Source organism: Homo sapiens, chromosome 2, assembly GCF_000001405.40.
Source record: "Homo sapiens chromosome 2, GRCh38.p14 Primary Assembly".
Taxonomy (NCBI): domain Eukaryota; kingdom Metazoa; phylum Chordata; class Mammalia; order Primates; family Hominidae; genus Homo; species Homo sapiens.
In genome coordinates, this window is record NC_000002.12 from 81,648,404 (window position 1) to 81,668,424 (window position 20,021).

Below are 20,021 nucleotides of genomic sequence, written 5' to 3' on the forward strand. Positions count from 1 at the left end.
TCCTTCCACCACGTCTGGCTAGTTTTTGTATTTTTAGTAGAGGTGGGGTTTCACCATGTTGGCCAGGCTGGTCTCAAACTCCTGACCTCAAGTGATCCACCCACCTGGGCCGCCCAAAGTTCTGGGATTACAGGCATAAGCAACCACATGCCTGGCCTAAGATTCTGTTTTAATGTTAATGCTGGTCAGTTATGCCTGAATTCCAAAGGGAGGAGTGCGTAATGAGGCAGATTCTGTGGCATAAGAATTCTTTATAGGGGTGAAGTGCAGGTTTTCCTTCTACCCTCTGAAGGTTCACTAAAAATTAACTGACAATAAGCAGATTAATAGGAAAATGCGTATAAATTTATTTCGTATAAACAGAGGGGAATTGCAGAAAAATGATTACCCAATTATTCAATGAGATCTTTCTTTGCAGGAGAAGGGGAGATGAGGGAAATGTGACAATTTTTAGAGGTGTAGAAAATGACTTTAGGAAAGATAAGTAGACCTGGGAAACAGAAATTAGCTTGTAAATGATTCTCTTTGAAATTTGAATGAGTCCTAGAGGCAGAAATAGTTTATAACAATGTGCATCTAGGTGTGGTTACATTCCTTAGTCTGTTTTCCTGGGATAGATAATAAAACTTCAGGGAGGGGATAGAAGGCAATTGTCTTCTTTTTGGAGGGTTTGATCATAAGGCAGATAAGAGAATATCAAAGTAAAATTTGCTGGTGTGGGGAGATAGGAGAGGTCAGAAAGTTCTTCATTCTATGATAGTTTCTGAGGCCTTCCCATTTTAGTTCAAAGTCTCAGCATGCCAAATGCCATACTTTTAGGGTATCATTTTCTGAGCCCCAACATCTTCAAGTTGTAAGCATAGGTCCAGTAAGTCAGTAAGACTGTAGGAAGATGCATGAGAAATAATGGAGAAAAACAGTCTTGGGAGAGTTACATTTCTTGCAGGATACCTTGTAATCAGTATTAATAATTATTCCTTATTCACTCTTTTTGTTAAAGCTGTATGTATTACAGCTTCTATATGCACTACTAAGTAATTAGAGTATGATGTTATAGAAGACATACCTGTTACTGCCTTAGTGAATTTTGCATTCTAGGAAGAGTAGAGGCAAGTGAAAGAAACATAAAGATGTAACCTCTCAACAGGTTCATTTTGCCCACTGCCCACATATAGCTGATTCATCAAGACAGGGAAATTGCGATAGACAAACTTTAATCACACAGAGCCAGCTGAACAGGAGAGCAGAGTTTTATTATTACTCAAATCGGTCTCCCCAAATATTTTGAGACTGGAGTTTTTGAGAATAAGTTGGTGAAAAATGTCAGACCCTGAAAAACATGCAGGGGCTGAAAAATATTTTGATCACCAATCTGAAGTTTTATAATAGGGATGTTATCCCTAGGAGCAATTGACGGAGGATTAGAATCTTGGAATCTCTAGCTTCATGACTCCTAAACTGTAATTTCTAATTTTGTGGCTATTTTGTTAGTCCTAAAAAGGCAATCTGGCCTCAGATAAGAAAGGGGTTTATTTTGAAAAAAAGGAAGTTATAATTGTTACATATAAAGTTTTGGTGCCGCAAAAGAAGTAGCACTCGAATATAAAATTTTCTTTTTAATTCTCAGCAAGGCAAGGTACTTCTATAGGAGAGTGCCCCCTTAAAGATGGAGCAATGGTGAGCACACACGTGGACAAGGGAGGGAAAGGGGTTCTTATTCCTGATGCATGTGGTCCTTACTGCTGTATCATTCCCCTATTGGCTAGTGTTAGACTGCACAGGCTAAACTAATTCCAATTGACTAATTTAAAGAGAGTGACGGGGTGAGTGGTTTGGCAGGGAAAATGTTTATGAAATGAGTCAGGGTGGCAAATGAGTCAAGATGGAATAGGTCATCGGAAAAGGTTACCTTACAAGAAAGTTAAGTTTAAAAGTAGAAGGCAAAGAATTGAACATACTGATGTATTCTTTGAAGAGTAATTTAGAATTTAACAACTTCCTCCTCTTACATTTTTCTTACATCTTTCTCTTCAAACTTATTTAACATGTCTTGACTTAGGTGTTGTCCTTGATTTTCCAAAAGAAGAAGCTTCTCTGGATAAGGTGGAGGATAGTTAAGGGAGGTTTTAGTAAGTGCCATTTCTATGAGCCTCTGCACCAACCTACGGAGGCATGGTATGACACAGCACCCAACAAGAATAAGTACACCTATTATGGCTATGAGGGAAGTAAGAATTGAGGCTATTCTTCCTTACCATTTACCTAACCACTTTTCGAGCCATCCTGTAAAGGGGTCATTTACCCCTGAGTTACTGGCTACCTCATTGGATAAAGCAGTCAGACATTGCAATGCCTTTGTTATACTTCCACTAGGGGCAGTGTTGTTTGGGATGAAGGTGCAACATTGATATTCATGATGCAAACTCCTTCTCTATCTGCTAATACCATGTCTAAGGCTATCCTATTTTCCCAAGCCATCTAGGTAGCAGCCCCTAGCTGTTCAGCTATTCCTTTAACATTTCTAGTGTAGTTAATAAATTGCCGTTGGTTGTAATAGATGTAGTTTATCCAATCTATATTTTTATTAATTGTCACCCACCAAAATATTGACTCAAATGCTGCAGCTATTTGATTTCAGGCTTTAAATTGATCTGGTATTCCCTGTGGGACTCCAATTGCATCTAAATAGACGTGAGAGTTGAAGGACCCATAAGGGGCTTCTCTTGCTTTATGATGTCTTATTTTTCCTTCCTGTGGTTGATGAAATGCCACGGTGAAAGGGATAGCCAATTGGACTAAAGCATAAGTGCCACTCCAGTTATTCGGCAGAGTGTCCAGTAAAGGTCCACCACAATACCACCACACATCCGCTCAGGGATGAACAAGGGCTGACTGATTGGTAAGCTCTTGAAAATTCTTAAGCTTACTGCGTCCTTTCAGGTCTCCAAGGAACGCTGTTTCCTCCCAGTCATGAGAGACATGAAGTGAACTTAGTGTTGGGAGATGGAAGCTGGATGGCCCTGGGGGGCTAACCCGCAGGGTGTCAGACTTTGGGATATAGCAGAGAGAGAGCTTGGCTGACTTGTTACCCCAGGCTGTAGAATCCTGGAAAAGAGCTACCATGCAGCCCATGCTCGGTCAACTGGAGGACCACCCTAGTGGAAAGGGGACAATCTGGGCCTCTGGCTTGCCATGTGCACAAGCATAACAATTGCTTTTGTTTGATGTGCAGACAGAATATTTGATCCATTCCAGCCAGGCATTTACAGCTTGGTATCCCATCTCAATTGCCAAAGATTGTTTTAAGTCTTTAACTTCTATCATCGCTATCTCGGCCTTGTCATTAGATGGAGGAGGAACAATGGTTCCGCTGTGAGAGGTTTTGGAAAAAGGCTTAGAGGTAGGTGCAGGCAGCGGGGGATCAAAGAAATGCATTTCAAAGAATCCAATAGGGTCTATTCCTGAAATCTCAGCCCCCATACCATAAAACCGGCTTAAAGAAGGAAACCAGCTTAGAAAAGGAGAAGAACTTTGGGGGCTCAAAATAATAACCTGTTTAGGATTGCACCTGGTTTAGCTGACAGTTAATGTATGGTTTTAGGAAATTACAAAAGCCAGTTGGAGCAATCCATCTTTGCTCTTTGGTGGTCCACAGAAGGTTGGACCAACTATGGCATAAAAGCTCTACATCGGGGGTGGGGTCAAGACTCTTGGTTGCCACTGGGGTCTTTATTGAAATCTCCCCAGATTAAATGGTCCCAATTCACTAATGCCCAGTCTGAGGAGAGCCAGGAGGGACAGAGGTACTGTTCTGAAGTAGAGAGCTGTCTTTGACTTAACCAATCCCCACAGGGTATAACAAGGCAAGCATCAAATGCAATAGTTTGAAGTGAAATTGACTTGGTTATGTTAATAATTAGATGGTCAGCAATAGAGCCAGGAAAGAAGAAAGAGTAATAGATGAAAGAGAGTTAAATTCTTCTTAGCTTTAGTTTGGTAGGGTTTTCTCCTGGGCCTATGGCCCACGACTCTGGAGGGGGTGGTGCTTTCTTGACTTGAGTGTGGTGAGTCCATCCTCTCTCTGCTGAGCAGACTGTGGTTTCAGTAGTTAGGAGCACTACGTAAGGACCTTCCCAGGCTGGCTCTAGCTTCTCCTCTTTCCAGCTGTTGATGAGGACGTGATCCCCAGCCTGATGTTGATGTACTGGGAACTCCAAGGGTGGTGCCTGTGCTAATAGACCTTTAGTTTTAAAAGAAAAGAAAGTAGAAGATATATCAAGTATATAATTTTTAAGGAATTGATCTTTTGTTTCAAAGGTAAGAGTATCAGCAGTGGAGTGCAAATAAGGTAATCCATAGAGCATCTCATAAGGAGAAAGATGAATGTCTTTCCGTGGTGCAGTTAGAATTCTCAGCAGGGTGATAGGAAGACATTTGGTCCATGGCAATTGAGTTTCTAAGACTAATCTGGTTAAATGATTCTTTAGAGTCTGATTCATTCTTTCTACTCTCCCCGTTGAAGATAGGTACCAGGGAGTATGGTATTACCATCTAATGTCTAATGTTTGGGATAGCTTTTTAATAATGTGTGTGGTGAAATGAGTTCCATTGTCTGAGTCAATATTTTCTATTAGTCCAAACCTGGGTACTATATTTTCAATTAGGGCTTTAACTAGATTATTGGCTGTTGCATTTGAAAAGGGGGTAGCTTCAACCCAGTGAGTGAGGTGGTCTACTATCACTAGTAAATATTTTAGATGGCCTATTGGAGGCATTTCTGTGTAATCAACTTGGATATTTTGGAATGGCCTTAAGCCCAGATTCCTTCCCGTGAGAGGTAATATTTTTATAGTATGTCTATTAGTTTTCTTACATAGTAAGCAACTATCTATAACCTGTTTGTCCAGGGTATAAATTCCTATACAATCATAAACTCTGAGAACTGCATCACACATGGCCTGGGGTCCCCAGTGGGTCCCCTGATGTAGTTGGGATAAGACTTCCCTCATAGGGGTTTAGACATTTCTCTCTGGTCTGGCAGTATCCACTTTCCTTCTGAATTCTCTTTAGTACCTATTTTTATTAGTTTCTCTTTTTTCGGTGGAAAAGAAATGGGGATTATGGTAGGAGGAGGGAGGTAGGGAGTTAAGTAAAAAATGTGCATTTCAGAAGACATAGCAGCCTGCTTGGCTACCTGATCTGCTAGGTTATTTCCTCGACTTTCAAAAGAGAGACTTTTCTGGTGTCCAGGAACATGGACAATGGCTATTTCTTCCTGCAACTGAAGATTATTCAATACTTGGGTGATCAGCTCCTTGTGAACAAGGTCTTGACCTTTACTATTAATGAGATCTCATTCAGTCCAAATTTTCCCAAACGTATGGGCCACCACAAAGGCATACCTTGAATCTGTATAGATGGTTCCTTCCTGGTTCTGTAAGTACTTTAATGCTTGCCTGAGTGCAAATAGCTCACACATTTGAGCAGACCAACTGTTGAGCATTTTTCCTGACTCTCTTTCTACAAGAGTTTCTCCATCAGTCACTGAATACCCATTGTGTCTTTTTCCCTTAGTCACCCGGGAAGAACCATCTATGAATAAGTGCTGTCCAGTCCAGAAGGGAGTTTCTCCTAAGTCTGGTTGAACCTTCGTATGGTAATCAATTAAATCTAAACATGTGTGTTCCCTCCTTAGATTTGGATTCTCTGTTAGGAAACCTGCTGGGTTGAGTGAATTATCAGTGGTCAATGTTAAATCATCCTTTTCTAACAAAATGGTCATCCTTTAAGATTCTCGAGTTAGTAAGCCATCTCCCTACTCTTTGGTTTAAGATAGTTCTAACTTGGTGAGGCATGCTGTTGATTTTCCTCCAAAGATTAACTTTCCGCTTTCCTCGACTAGCATTGCCGTAGCCGCGATGGACTGGATGCATTGAGGCCATCCACAAGTGACTGGGTCTAAGACCTTTGATAGGAAGGCTACAGGCTGCTGGCGATGTCTGTGTTCTTGAGTCAGCACTCCTAAAGCTACCCCACTGTCCACATTAACAAAAAGGTGGAATGGCTTTTCTAGGGAGGGTAAGGCTAAAACGGGAGCCGTTATGAGCCTTTCCTTCAGCTTCTCAACCTGATCAACTTCCTCAGAAGACCACAGGAGATGGTTAGGCCTTTCCTGGGCAAGTTTTTGATATAACAGTTTACTGTGCAGTGCATATGAGTCAATCCGTAAGCGGCAGTATCCAACTAACCCTAAAAATTTCCTGAGGTCTTGTTTAGTTTGAGGCAAGGGTAGGGACAGGATTCCCTCAATTTGTTCAGGCCCTATTCTTCACTTGCCTGCACTTATTAAGTGGCCTAAATATTTAACTTTAGGCTCTACATACTGAAGCTTTCTTTCTGAGACTCATAGCCCCTCAAACTGCAGATGGTTAAGAATATGTGTAGAGAAGTCAGTTACCTTCTCTATATCTTTACCAGAGATAAGAATGTTGTCCACGTACTGAAGAAGGCATATTTTTTCTGGGATGACAACTTTTTCTAGTGCTGTTCTAAAATTTGGCCAAAAATATTAGGGGAGCCTGTGATCCCTTGGGGCAAGACTGTCCATCGATATTCTTGTTTCCACCCTGAGGAGGGATCCTCCCACTCAAAAGGAAATATATCTTGGCTATCTTCAGCCAGCAGACATGCCCAAAAAACATCCTTCAAATCTATTGCAGTGAACCATTGATGATTATATGGAATCTTGCTAAGAATGGTGTAAGGATTGGGGACAATGGGGTTGGTAGTCTGGACTATTTGGTTGATCACTCTAAGGTCCTGTACTAGCTGGTATGACCTGTCTGATTTCTTGACTGGCAGTATTGGGGTGTTATAAGGGGGTATACAGGGCTTGAGAAGCCTGTCCTTAAAAAGGCCTTTGATTATAGGTTTTAACCCTATCCTACCTTCTAGGGGAATAGGGTATTGCTTTCTTCTTACTACTTCTTCCGGGGTGTTTAGCTTGATGTGGAAAGGAGGGACTTGGAGCTTCCCTCAGTTTCCTTCTTTGGACAAGACATTAGGATTAATGTATTTTTCATCTGTAGTGTGACTAGGTTTAATGAGGTGAGGAATCCTCTTGGGCTGACTTGCAGACCTATGTCCAACTTTAACATTAAATCCCTCCCCAGTAAATTAGTTCCTGCTTCAGGGATTAACAAGAACTGAATACAAGCTGAGTGATCCTGGTATCTAACTTCTGTGCTTTCTAAAATTTTTGCTCTAAATCCTTCCCCTTTTACCCTGGAGCCTAAAAATTCCTCTGAGGAGGAGATAAGGTTAGACGGGGAAAAACAAACAGAGGAGCGAGCAGCCCCTGAATCGACTAAAATGGTGATAAGCTCATGTTTAGGTCCCACCTCCAAATTTATCAAGGGCTCCTGGTGGGACTCAAGATAAAAGAGACAGAGCCCCTGACCCCCCTATTCTTCCTTGAAAGTCATGAGTGGAGGGGCTTCTTTCTCCTTTTTTAGTTCAGGACATCCTCACTTGAAGTGGCCTGTTCTTCCACATCTAAAGCACCTATCTTGTTCTTCCTCCTTCTGAGTTCTGAGATTCTTTACCCCTGCTCTCCTATACTCTTTAGGGGGCCTGGTAGATCAGTACCTTGGTCCTCCAGATGGAGGCTGGGGTCCTTTAAAAGAGGGTTCGGACCCTTTGTAGTTTCTGGCTCCCTGGAAGCTCTGTCTAGAAGTACGTGGGTTTGGAACCAACTGTTGGAAGGTGGAAAACATAAGTTTTGTCTTTTGTTTCTGTTTTTCTTCATCCCTTTTCATGTATACTTCCTGAGCTTCCCTGAGAAGCTCACTTAGGGGATGATCTTCCAAATTTGTCTATCTTTTGTAACTTTTTTGAAACATCTGGCCAACTTTTAGCGACAAATTGGAGTTTCAACATTCCTTGCCCGAGGGGATCATCCAAATTGAGGCCTGCTTGTTGCCTCATTTGTTCCCTCAGCCTGTCTAGGAATCTCATAGGCCCTTCCTCTTTTTCCTGTTGTATATCAAATGCTTTAGAAAGAGTTTGGGTTTGGGGTACTGATTCCCGAATTCCTTTTATTATTATCTCCCTTAGGTCCTGCATATTTTCCCGGTGACCTGTGTTGTTATTGTCACACCGAGGATCTCAAGTGGGGGGGTATTTCTGGTCTGTGTCAGGAACATTTTCACCAGGAGGGTGCTCACATTCCCAAACTACCATAGCAGCCCTATGAGTCGTACTCCTTTCTTCCCCTGAGAAGAGGATGCCCAAGATGGACATTAACTCGACCCAACTGTATAATTGAGATCCTAAGAATTGGTCAATTTGGTCTGCCACTCCATAAGGGTCATCTAGTAGCAGTTTAAGCTCCTTTTTAAAATTCTGGACTTCTGAACTGGTTAAGGAGCATTTACAAAGCCAATGCCACCCCCTCTCCTTGTGGCACCTCTTTCAAAGGGAAGAGGGTTGGGGCTGACCTCTTAGGTACAGAGGGAAATGGGAAATTCTGCATACTTTTTTTATATTATTCTGCCTCACACTGGAGTCCTTTTAGACAGGGGTCTTTAGGTTGGAGGGAACAGACTGATGGGACTGTAATTCCCAAGAGTCAGGGTTATAAGGAGGAGGGATAACGTGAGTAGAGGGGGAATTTGGAATGGGATCTGAGGCGGCAGTGGCTGTCTGAGGGGAAAGATTGGGGACACTGAGTGGGGGAAGATAGTCTAGGGGATCCCATGCACTGGAGTCTTTAGGCATGACAGCTGGCTCCTCTGACTTTTCATTTTGAGGTGCCAGATTGGGTTTTTCCCTATTTGTTTTTAAGGGAAAAAGGAGGGCAGGTCCTTGCCTCCAACAAAGGGCATAGCCTAGTTCTTCTTGACACACTGGATATATATCATTGACATATCGGATCAGAAGCTGACACATTACATCCTCATTCAACCCAAACTGTGGCCAGAAGATTGAGGATTTGAGGATGGGTCCCTGAGTCCAAATAAAACAGCAATATTTTATCATTTGTTGCTTTTTCCTATGTTTAGTCCTTTCATTATCTTTCCAGTGTTTTAACATGAGACCTCAGGGGCTATCTGGGGGAGATATCTTTGTTACCATCTTTATCCCCCTTGCTTCCTGTCTTGCTTGGGGTATTTCCCATCTTGATGGTTTTGGGGTAAAGTTGAAGGTTCAATTTCCCTTACTGGAAATTTCTCACCTTTTGGGGTGAGGCTCAATTTCCCCCAGCGGAAATTTCTTGCCTTTTCTACTACTACAGGTTCATGTGAGGTTCAATCCCCCAACAGTGGGGATGTCTCACCTCTTTTTAACCTCTAAGCCATGCCGACCAAGGAGTACTTCACCACCGCCCCCCACCCAAAGCCCCCGTGACTTTCTTACCTTGGTCCCAACCACCAAGGAAATACTTTACCAGCTCCCACAGCTTCTCCTTCCTTGGTCTGTGCACAGAGTTGTCTCTGCAGTATGTGAGGATCCTTTAAGCTAGGTTGCTAGCCAGTTTTTTTTGTTTTTGTTTTTGTTATTTATTTATATTTTTTTGCATTGCTGAGAGCTCGGGTTATTCCTTGCACTGGATGGGTTTTGATTTTTCCCCCCTGAGGCTGCCACAAAGGACAGGACATGCCTCCTCACAAGAGAGAAACAGAGACCATCCCCTGAGGGGAATGTAATCATGGGCGAGCCCCCAAATTGTTTTCTATAAAGTTTCGGTGCCGCTAAAGAAATAGCACTCAAATATAAAATTTTCTTTTGAATTCTCAGCAAGGCAAGGTACGTCTATAGAAGGGTGTGGCCTTACAGATGGAGCAATGGTGAGTGCACACCTGGACAAGGGAGGGAAAGAGATTCTTATTCCTGATGCACATGGTCCTTACAGCTGTGTCATTCCCCTATTGGCTAGGATTAGACCGCACAGGCTAAACTAATTCCGACTGACTAATTTAAAGAGAGTGAGTGGTTTGGCAGGAAAAATGGTTATGAAATGAGTCAGGGCAGCGACTGAGTCAGGGTGGAGTAGGTAATTGGAATGAGTCAAGGTGGAGAATGAGTCAGGGTGCAGTAGGTAATCGGAATGAGTCAGGGTGGAGTAGGTAACAGGAATGAGTCAAGGTGGAGAATGAGTCAGGATGAAGCAGGTAATTGGAAAATGTTGTTTTATGAGGAAATTAAGTTTAAAAGTTGAAGGCAAAGAATTGAACATACTGACATATTCTTTGAAGAGAAATTTCGAATTCATATTTAACATTATCTTTGTTTCAAAGTTAAACTATAAGTTTCTCTCAAAGTTAGTTTGGCATATGCCCAAGAATGAACAAGGACATCCTAGAAGTTAGAACAAGGACATCCTACTGGTCAGAAGCAAGATGGAGTTGGTAAGATCAGATCCCTTTCACTGTAATAATTTTCTCACTGTTATAATTTTTGAAAAGGTGGTTGTAAGTAGACAAAAAAAAAACAGTTTATCTTAGGTGTAACGAAGAAAACAAGATTTGGATTATTATGTTAAAAAGCACAGCAGCTGGTCAAAGATGATTTTATTAAATGTGTTAATTCATAGTTCCATCCTCTAAATAATACAATGAAATAACATAGTTCACATGTATCTTTAATCTACAAAATCTACAAATCCTTAAGAGGATTTTGGGATTGTTGCAAGTTTTAGATACCATATTGTGTTGATCATATACTGACAGTTATCAAATCTCAGTGTTAAAATCAGGGAACTTAGAAGATAGGGCAGTGTTTTGACTGTGCTGACAGTCCCTTTATGAGACAATAAATACATTTATTTGTGTATTTCATTCAACACATATTAAGCATGCTTTGTTTCATATACTTTATAAGAAATAAAGGAGTTTTAATGATAAATATTACACAATTTTTATGTTTAAACTCAGAGTTTATTTGAAGAAGAAAAACACAGTTTGTACATTATCAACATTAGAGTAAGCAGATAGTTAGACATGAGCAGGAAAGGGATGCCCTGGTGGAGAAAGCTCTGAAAAAATCTCACATCAGAGGGACTACCTAAAACATGCATGCTAAATATGAGCAGAGGGAGGGGGAGATACCTATGCAGAAGGGAATGCTCTGAAATGCCCTGAAAGATGCCCCAAAATCACTCATTCTGCAGTTAACCTGTCTGAATGTAGCTACATATTAACAAGAAAGGAAGAATGGCAAAGTGGAAATTCCTAAGAGGTATGCAGATGTAACTGCTATATGACCTTCCAGGGGTGGTGGTCATGAGCAGTGCTGCCATTGGGTAGAATTCATATTGATCACCAGGCCCCATGCACATGCATCAACTGACATTAAGCTGTCTTAAGACAGAGAAACTAGACAAAGACAAAGCAGAGACTTACAGCAGAGGTGGGAACTTAAATAAGCAGCCTGACATTATAAAAACCACAGTGCAGAACTCTTCTTATAGTTCCCAGCCAGGTTAGCCTGCTCCTCTCTTGGAGCATACTCTTATTTCCTTAATAAACCTTTTGCTTACTTTACTAATTGGTCTCTTGGCCAAATTCTTCTAAGAAGACTAAGAACTGAGGGCCCCACACTTCCCAGTAACATAAATATAATAAAATAAGATCTATCTATCTATCTATCTATCTATCTATCTATCTATCTATCATATGATGGGATCCTAGCTGTGGCTATGTGGGGATGTTATGGGGAGTGTTTGGCCCTGAAATACTATTTAGGGGAGAAAAAGCTTTCTCTTTACCCTTTTAAATTTAGTAAGTGTAGACATTAAGCATTAAAATTACAAAAGACAGATTCACAAGAGAAAAAAAAAGATGTGATTATGTTTCTATGGAAGTTCATGAAGAAATGTGGTTCAAAGTGATTAGAATTGGGGGCTCATATCTTAATAAGGGATGGAAAGGGCCAAGGGGCACTGCTGGAAAAACACATGACTTGGAAGAGAGAAGAAAGGAATGGAATAACAAATGACATTTTGTAAAAGTAAATGGGACCTTAGGAGAATAGATGAGGGATATGATAGTTTTGTGACAGTGTCTCTTTGAGAGTGGTGCTGAATGAATTCTTATCTCGAGAAGATTATAGTTGCTCCATGGGAAGAGATTTATGACAGTTACTTTCTTTTGGAAGATTCATTTTTAGGCAGATAGGAATTTTCAGAAACTCAAATGCCTTCAGCTCAAATAATTTTTATGCCACAGTGGCTTATTCTGGGCCCCCTTTACTATCTTTAAGAATAGAGACTTTTAAATTGAATTTGGAAGTAGAGGGGAAGATTATACATGGGTAGTACATGCTTGGGGCTGTTTAATTTTACTGACCAGGGGAAAAAACAAGCATGCAGTAGATTGTTAAAGAAATTCAGAGAAGTATTTTAGTTAGACAGTACAAACAGATTTTATTGATGGACTATTGCAATATGCTAGAAGAGTCTTCAGTATAGGACTGGGCTCAATTCTAAATACTGTCAGAACAAACAAGGATTTACAGCCAGCTATCAGAGTGGAGGTCAGCAGATGAACAATCACCAAGAGCAACAATGGAAGTAAGGGGGGATTCTGGCTGAAGACAGTCCAGAGTGATTAGATATTAAGGGTGGGAGCTGAGGAATTTGATTAGATATCGAGGGGGATGAGATATCCAGAATGGGGGATTCCCTTCTCCCTAAACTGACTAAGCGAGATTCTTGCCTTCAAACAAAAAACAACAAGAAAGAAACAAGGAAGCCCATAATGCGGGGCCTGGTAGAAAAGAGAGCTCACAGGAGCCTGGCTAAACTTGAGGCAGGAGAGAGTCTCAGTATGAAACCAGGGAGTGGGAAGAAATGGTGATAGTGATAGAAGCAAACGGCAAGTAGGATGATCTGGAATTCTTCATTTGTAAGGAAATTAACTGCCTCTGATTTTGTTTAAAAATTTTTAGGTTTAGCTTGAGTCTCACCCACTATCTATATAAGTAGTGACATTTACTGGCAGAGATGTTATACCTTTAGATGGCAAATAATTAAAATTCAAACAATTGTTTGGAAGACAGTTTCCAATCAAGCAGGACTAATTACTCTAATGAGGTCAGGGCCTTAGTGGAGAACAATATTGATCATTAAGGGAAAGCTTTGCTGTGGTTGATCTTGAATGGACTAAATTGCTCAGTGAGAAAATTTTCTATTTAAAAGAAGTTGTCAGAGTTCTTCAAGTTCTTTCCTAACTAAGCTTTTGAATTTGAACTATAATTTCAAAAAAAAAAAATGTGTGTGTGTTTGGGGATGAAGAGGGTAATAAAATTCTGTAGCCAGCAAAGAACTGTGAATGGAATAAAAGGATAATTTTAAAACCTTAATGAAAACAGAAAATAACAGCAATTTAGGGAGCTCATTGACATCATTTTACTGTTTGTAATTGGTAGGCAATTAGCATGCAATTGTCCCATGTCAGTTAGTTTTCAGAAAGTTTTCTCTTTTGCTATACATAGACAAATTCTTCATTTTTTTTTTCCCATCCAGACTCTGTTGGCCTTCTCTCACAGGTCTTATTGTTTTCACACTCTTTAATCATATATCCCTTAGTAACTGTGTGCCTTTTCCATAATGTTGTTGCCAAACACTTAAATTCACATGTCTAAAGATACAACCTCTTTGTGCCTTTTTTGGGGAAACATAACTTGAGTTTTGTCAGTGGAGTAATACTTGCCAAATTGTTTGATTTTTAAGGGTAATGCAACATTTTTTTTTTTGCACCAGAGTACTTTTCACATGAATGCTTGAAATCCTCTCATTAAAGAGTAATTACTGGCATTTAGTGTAAATTTCTCCAGCAATATAAATGTCTTTTTTTGTGAGATACATTAAATAAAATCTGTACTTAGAATGGATTTTCTAGTTGTTTTCCTATAAATATATTTTCAAAAATTTCCTCTTCTATAATACATCTGTTCTGAATATAACAAAAATATGCACTTAACCCAAGACAAAACATACAGGGGGATATTTAGCTACCACATCCAGCACCAAATCCTGGATCTATAATCCAGATTTATTCTATCTGATTTTGATATCAATGGATCAATGATCATTGAAATCACAACACAATTCTAAGTAATAATGGAGGGAAAAGAGGATAACTTAAATAAGTCTTCCCTATTGCCATGTTTATATCGTATAGTACAGATAGCTCATCTTTCTCTTTAGTGATGTTACTATTGACAAGCTTGGGTTTTATTGGTCAACCCAACACTGAAAGCACTGTAACTGCCTTATGTGTCAATTCTAGTGTACTCCATTGGATCATAGCCAGAAATCCTATTGGGTAATGGTCCTTAAACATATATCCTACTTTGTGTTTGCAATTTTGGTCTTTTGTAAATGATAGGTGCTTAGATCTCAACCAAATGTCTCTGTGTTTGTAGTTTGCTCAGACATACAGTGAAGGAAGTATTTGGCTAGAGCAGCAAGGCTTTGGCAAGTCCTGTCTGCTGTTCTGCTGCCCCGCCCCCAAGGAAAGGCACTTTCAGTTGAATCACTACCTTTTTACATAATTTGGTGCTCAGCAGGAGATATTTGGGAGGACCCAAGGACATCAGGTTCCCGTTTTTTATCTTTGTCCTCAATGTCCATATCTTATCAAAACTCTGGTCCTCCCTGTTGCTCCCAAATGTGTTCACTTAGAATCTTTCTGTTTTCTATTGGATGTTTCGAAAGGATGTGAGAAGCAGCCTACACACTCCAAATTTCTGGCTATTAAAACTCAAGCATCTCTAACAAGGTCTTTGAAAGCTCAGGGGTTGGTAGTTCAAACATGATTCAATAACAAGCATCATTATTATCATTCATTTCCTTAGGAATAAAGAAATTTTCATTTCCTGCCATCCCATCTTAACACAGTTAATATTCTTCATCACTGGTAGCATTGTATTAGAGTGCAAGCTGCATCTGAAAGATATCTCCTCCAAGGAAACTAAGTGGAAAAGAGTTGAAAATGCATTAACTCATTTACCTGAGGAGAAAAGGGGTTGAGTTGGCCTCTGAAACATCACAAATACAAAACACATAATTTAAATTTTTTTTATTCTGTTATTCATTTGCTCTCCAAGATCCTCTTGACTTTTGCCCTTATTTTTTCCTGGTTTTATAAAGGGAAACTTGGCTACCAAAAGAAATAAAGGGTTATGTTACCTGAGTTTTATAAACCAGGAGAAAAGGGAGACTTTCAGGGAGTCAGTGGATAATGAAACCATCCCTTGATCAATCGCTGTGAAAGCAGAAACAAGGGGGAAGGGTATAATGATTAGCAATTATTAGGTTGCATTCCTATTTCTAAAGACAAGGCACTCAAATGATAGCCTCCTGAGACCTACATGGAAATGAGGAAAGTGAATCCCCCAAAGGAATAAGTGTTTTGCTTTGAGAAGAGATTGGTATGCTTAGCAGAAAAGTACAATAAAATAGAACAGATGTCCACACTGTATAGGTTTTCTCTATTTCCCTTGAGATACATACATTTAATTTCAGATTCTTGAAGCAAAATATTCACTTTCAGAAATAGTTGCCTTCCCTCTTGTTAACTGTAACATAAACATATCTCTGGGGGTGCAGGTTTTATATTTTGATACTTTTGCCAGGGAAAAAATTAAAAAAAAAAGGAGCAGTTGGTTGGAACCACTCATGCTCCAAAATATTTTTCTTGCCATCCTGAGATTCCACCATCTGTAACTCCATTGTATAGGCCATTAAAATCTTCTACAAAAAACCCCATAGAATTGGGATTTTGTGACTGAGAAGAACTGGACGACCATTAAGTAAGTCTGTCTTCCAAGCCATTCAAGAAATACTGCTTTTTAAATCATTAACCACTGTTTACAGCTGACCTTCAATGATGAAGAATCTACTGTCCTAAGACAACCCATTCTGATGTTGGACATTTCTGATTATTGGAGAGCAATCTGAATACACGATGAGAAGAGTCAAATAATAAATACTTTTTAAATGATACAAAGTATTTTTTCTAATATTGGGATGAAGGCTACCATTCTGCAATCTTTTCATTTAGGTTGGAGTCAAAGCAAGTATAATTTCCCTTTCTGAGACAGCCCTTCACATATATTAAGAGACAGCTGCATGCTTCTTATTCATCGCTTTTCCTTCAAGGCAAATATTGCTAACTCCCTCAGCTTTTTCTCATTTAAATAAGTCTAACTCATACCTGTTCAAAAATACTTTCAATTTTTGAGAACTTCTGAGACTTAAGAGGAAAAAAGCGCGAATATCTTTTTTGGTAAACAACAGAGTTTATGGCAGTGGCAGAATTTTGAATTTTCTTGAAAGAGTGAAAGAAAGTGATAGAAACTAGGGAAGACATAAATAGGGGTAGAAGAAGGGAAATTGCTGTTTAAATTACTTACTGCATTTTGTTTGTTCTTGGTCCTCTTGGATAAGACAATTCTGGTACAAAGGTCTCTTCATCACAAATCCTATTCAAAACTATAGTTAAAACTTTCATTACTTAAGATCAGACTAAGGCTTAATTTTGCTTAATTCTCACAACAACCCTAAAAGTCAGGTATAATTTTCTCTGTTTTGTTGATGAAGAAACTCTGTGCTTAAATAGATATAACACAGCTGGGCATGGTGGCGCACGCCTGTAATCCCAGCAATTTGGGAGGCTGAGGCTGGTGGATCAAGAGTTCAGGAGTTTGAGACCAGCCTGGCCAACATGGTGAAACCCTGTCTCTACTAAAAATACAAAAATTAGCTGGGTTTGGTGGCACACACCTGGAATCCCAGCTACTCAGGAGGCTGAGGGAGGAGAATAGCTTGAACCTGGGAGGCAGAAGTTGCAGTGAGCCAAGATCTTGCCACCGTACTCTAGCCTGGGACAGAGCAAGGCTCCATCTAAAAATATAAAAAAAAAAGTAAATGCATTTTCCAGGGGTCAAAGTTCAAACACAATTACTTCTAATTGTGAAGCCTATGCTCTTTCCGCCTGTTCTTGGGGCATACAAGCCTGTCACAGAATGGTGTGGTGCTAATTATCCCAGTTGTGAAGATACCCATTGATCCTGATGGAAGCTACAAAAGAAACCTCAATATTATGCTAAGTGAAAGAGTTTGGACATGAAATACCATGTATTTTATTATTCCACATACATGGAATTAACAGAAAAGACAAGTCTATAAAAGTAGTTGCCTAAGTTTGGGTAGGGAACTAGGAATCGGCTACAAATGAACATAAGAAATGTTCTTGGGGTGGTGAAAATATCTTTTAAGTAAATTGTGATATCTGTACAATTTTTTAAATTTACTATAAATTTTTGAATTGTAAATTTGAAAAGGAGAAATTTTATGTTATGTAAAGTATGCCTCAATGAAGCTGTTAACTGAAAGGCAGGACTATTGCAAATAAAAATAAGAAAAGTACTGAAAGAAGCAAATTGTAGAGTTTGTACCTTAATAGTACTGTTCTTTGTATACTGAGATGTTATAGATTATGTCATGCCATTGTTTTGTGTATATCAAGAAAAACATTCTGCAAATTAATTTATGACAATATTTTCTTACCATGTTATTTACATTCATTTAAAAATTCTTCTAATTTATACCTTGTCTATACCATATCACAATATGCACAACTATGAAAAAGTTCACGTGTACTGATAACTAAATCATCACCACTGTGTAGCTCTACAGATTGAAAGGTGCCTATTGATTTTAAAAACGTTAAAACGTGAAAAACACCTACATCTTAGAATCTGTGATGAACCACAGAGTGAAAAGAAAACCAAAGGCCCAGAGTAACCAATATCTGGGACATCCGCAAAAGCCGCCTGGGTTAAGATGGGGAAACGTGATGGTTTACTTGGGAAAAACTTGGTGACTAATGGTCTTGGGTGCAACCAGCTACAGGGGGACAGGTACAGAAACTGCTTGAGGCTGAGCCAACACTTAATATCACTTGTCCTTCATCTTTCAAGGATTCATCATATGCCATCTCCATGAAGGATCTATATCCACTGGGTATCCTTTCCATCAATATCTGTTAATACAGATCTTAATAATAATTGTGTCTGTTTTTAGGCCTAATGTGGGAACAGCTCATGAGTGTAAGACATCTTGCGATGTAATTATTATACGAACGGGAGCTTCAACTGGGAGGACCACCCGATTGTCAACGTCAAGGAGTCATAGGTCACCTGGCTCTAGATATAATGGAGGGAGTATATAGGAGTTGAAGATTAGTCCACCGTAGTCGGTGTATTCGCAGGTTCAATATCATTGATGGCCGATTGATTTGATAGTAAAGGAGGGGTCATATTAATAATAATAGGCTATAACCTGTTAAAAATAGTAGGTTAATTTACAGAAGTGTGGCCCGCTTATTCCTTGAGAGTTGCTGGTTCCCATCTATATTTGTGTGGTTCCTCCTCTTGACAATGATTCAGAATACTCATAGTCACTCACCCCTGAAACAAAATATGGGATCCCTGCTACTCGAAGAGATGGTCGTGGTGCAAAAGGAAGAGTCCTAGTACTTGTGCAGCAAATACTTACCTTCCTTTCACTTATTCTTTGTTTTAAGGGAAAAAGTGACAACTGGGTTTTATTGTGACTAATGCCAGCTTTAGACAGCATACTAAGTATAGTGTAATAAAAAAGCATGACTTTTGAAAGCCAAGAGATTAAAGTGTGAATCTTACCTTTGACATTTATCAGCAGCTAAATCTTGCACAAGTTATTTCAATTTTCAAAGCCTTAGTTCCTTTGTCTAAATTAGTGATGTGATTATCTCTTTAGAATTTTTGTAATAATTAAATGAGACCAAGTATGTATAGTACATAATACCTTGAATACAGGAAAGTCCCAAGTTTATCACTGTGGTCACCATCATCATCCCCACCATCGTCATTATATCAGCAGCATCCTCATGATTAATTTTGTTACTCAGGCTCAATTTGGAAAGTATGCATTTGTTTGGAGAACTGCTTTTCTCATGTTAGGCAATATCACGTAAGGGGGAAGACATTTTGACTCGCAGACTATCCTTACTTAGACAAGTGACTATTATCAGCTCAAATGCAATTACTGAAAGTATGCAAAAATCCAATCATTGCCAAAGTGACCTTATTTAGTGAACAGTATAGGTATAACATAATATCTTCAGAATTGTGAAATTGTGTATTCCATCTGGGTTCTTTATATAAGGATATTTCTCTGTGACCTTAGCATAAATTCACTTGATAATTTCACTCTGAACCACAGACATAAGGTACATTATAGCTGAAATCTAGTGTACTTAAAGTTCATTGCTGGTTGTATCTTAAGTACCCTTGCCTGCTATAGTTTCAGCTACTTATGCTATCATGCTGATATTTCATGTGATTCATCATTACATCTAGATTAGGCACCTCATTGCAAAAGTTCTTTGTTTTTAGGATTGTAGTAACATCCCTCAACCTCAGCTATTCTTGATCTTCATTCTTCAAATATGGACCTGATTATGAGTTCTCCCTTGCGAGGCTGGTTTCAATACATGCTTTCTAGGAATATTAGTGCACTTAAGCTAATACATGCTTAAGAAACTTACATTATAAGATGTGAAAAGTGTTAATTATATGTATGTGTATGTGTGGATATATCTCTCTATCTCCTCTCTCTCTGCGTGTATATCTCAGTGACAGAGAAACTGGATTGAAGTATAAAGTAGCATTTGAGCTGAGATATATGTCTTACTGAGATTTCAGGTTGATTTAGACATTTCTGGGTAAATAATATTCAGTGTGGGCAAAAGACTGAGGAGGTTTGAAATGGGTATTTTTAGTTAGAATAAAGCAGTTCTCAATGGCAATAGATTTCAAAAACAGTTCACTAATTGTTTCCATTGTGGAATCTAAAATGACTCCTCTATTGTATAATTTCAGAAATCATACTAAACATATCTGCATATAATTATTCCATGTTAATTATTTTAGTCACATAATTTGTTTCTATCCTAACAACACTCTTAATT

At 39.2% G+C, this 20,021-nt stretch overlaps 1 long non-coding RNA gene across 14 annotated transcripts in view, besides 1 other annotated feature; it reads left to right on the plus strand.

Annotated features, from left to right (window-relative positions):
- The window catches only part of LOC102724542 (uncharacterized), a 368,996-nt gene that overhangs the window by 166,666 nt on the left and 182,309 nt on the right, over positions 1-20,021 (plus strand). The window lies entirely within an intron of this gene.
- Positions 9,381-10,580: an enhancer, noted in NCBI's record as "P300/CBP strongly-dependent group 1 enhancer chr2:81884908-81886107 (GRCh37/hg19 assembly coordinates)". NCBI's record gives its function as "activates an origin of replication core promoter dependent on BRD2, BRD4, P300/CBP, MED14 and CDK7 cofactors, with strong dependence on P300/CBP, by STARR-seq in HCT116 cells {active_cell/tissue: HCT116}" and the evidence as "EXISTENCE:reporter gene assay evidence [ECO:0000049][PMID:35650434]".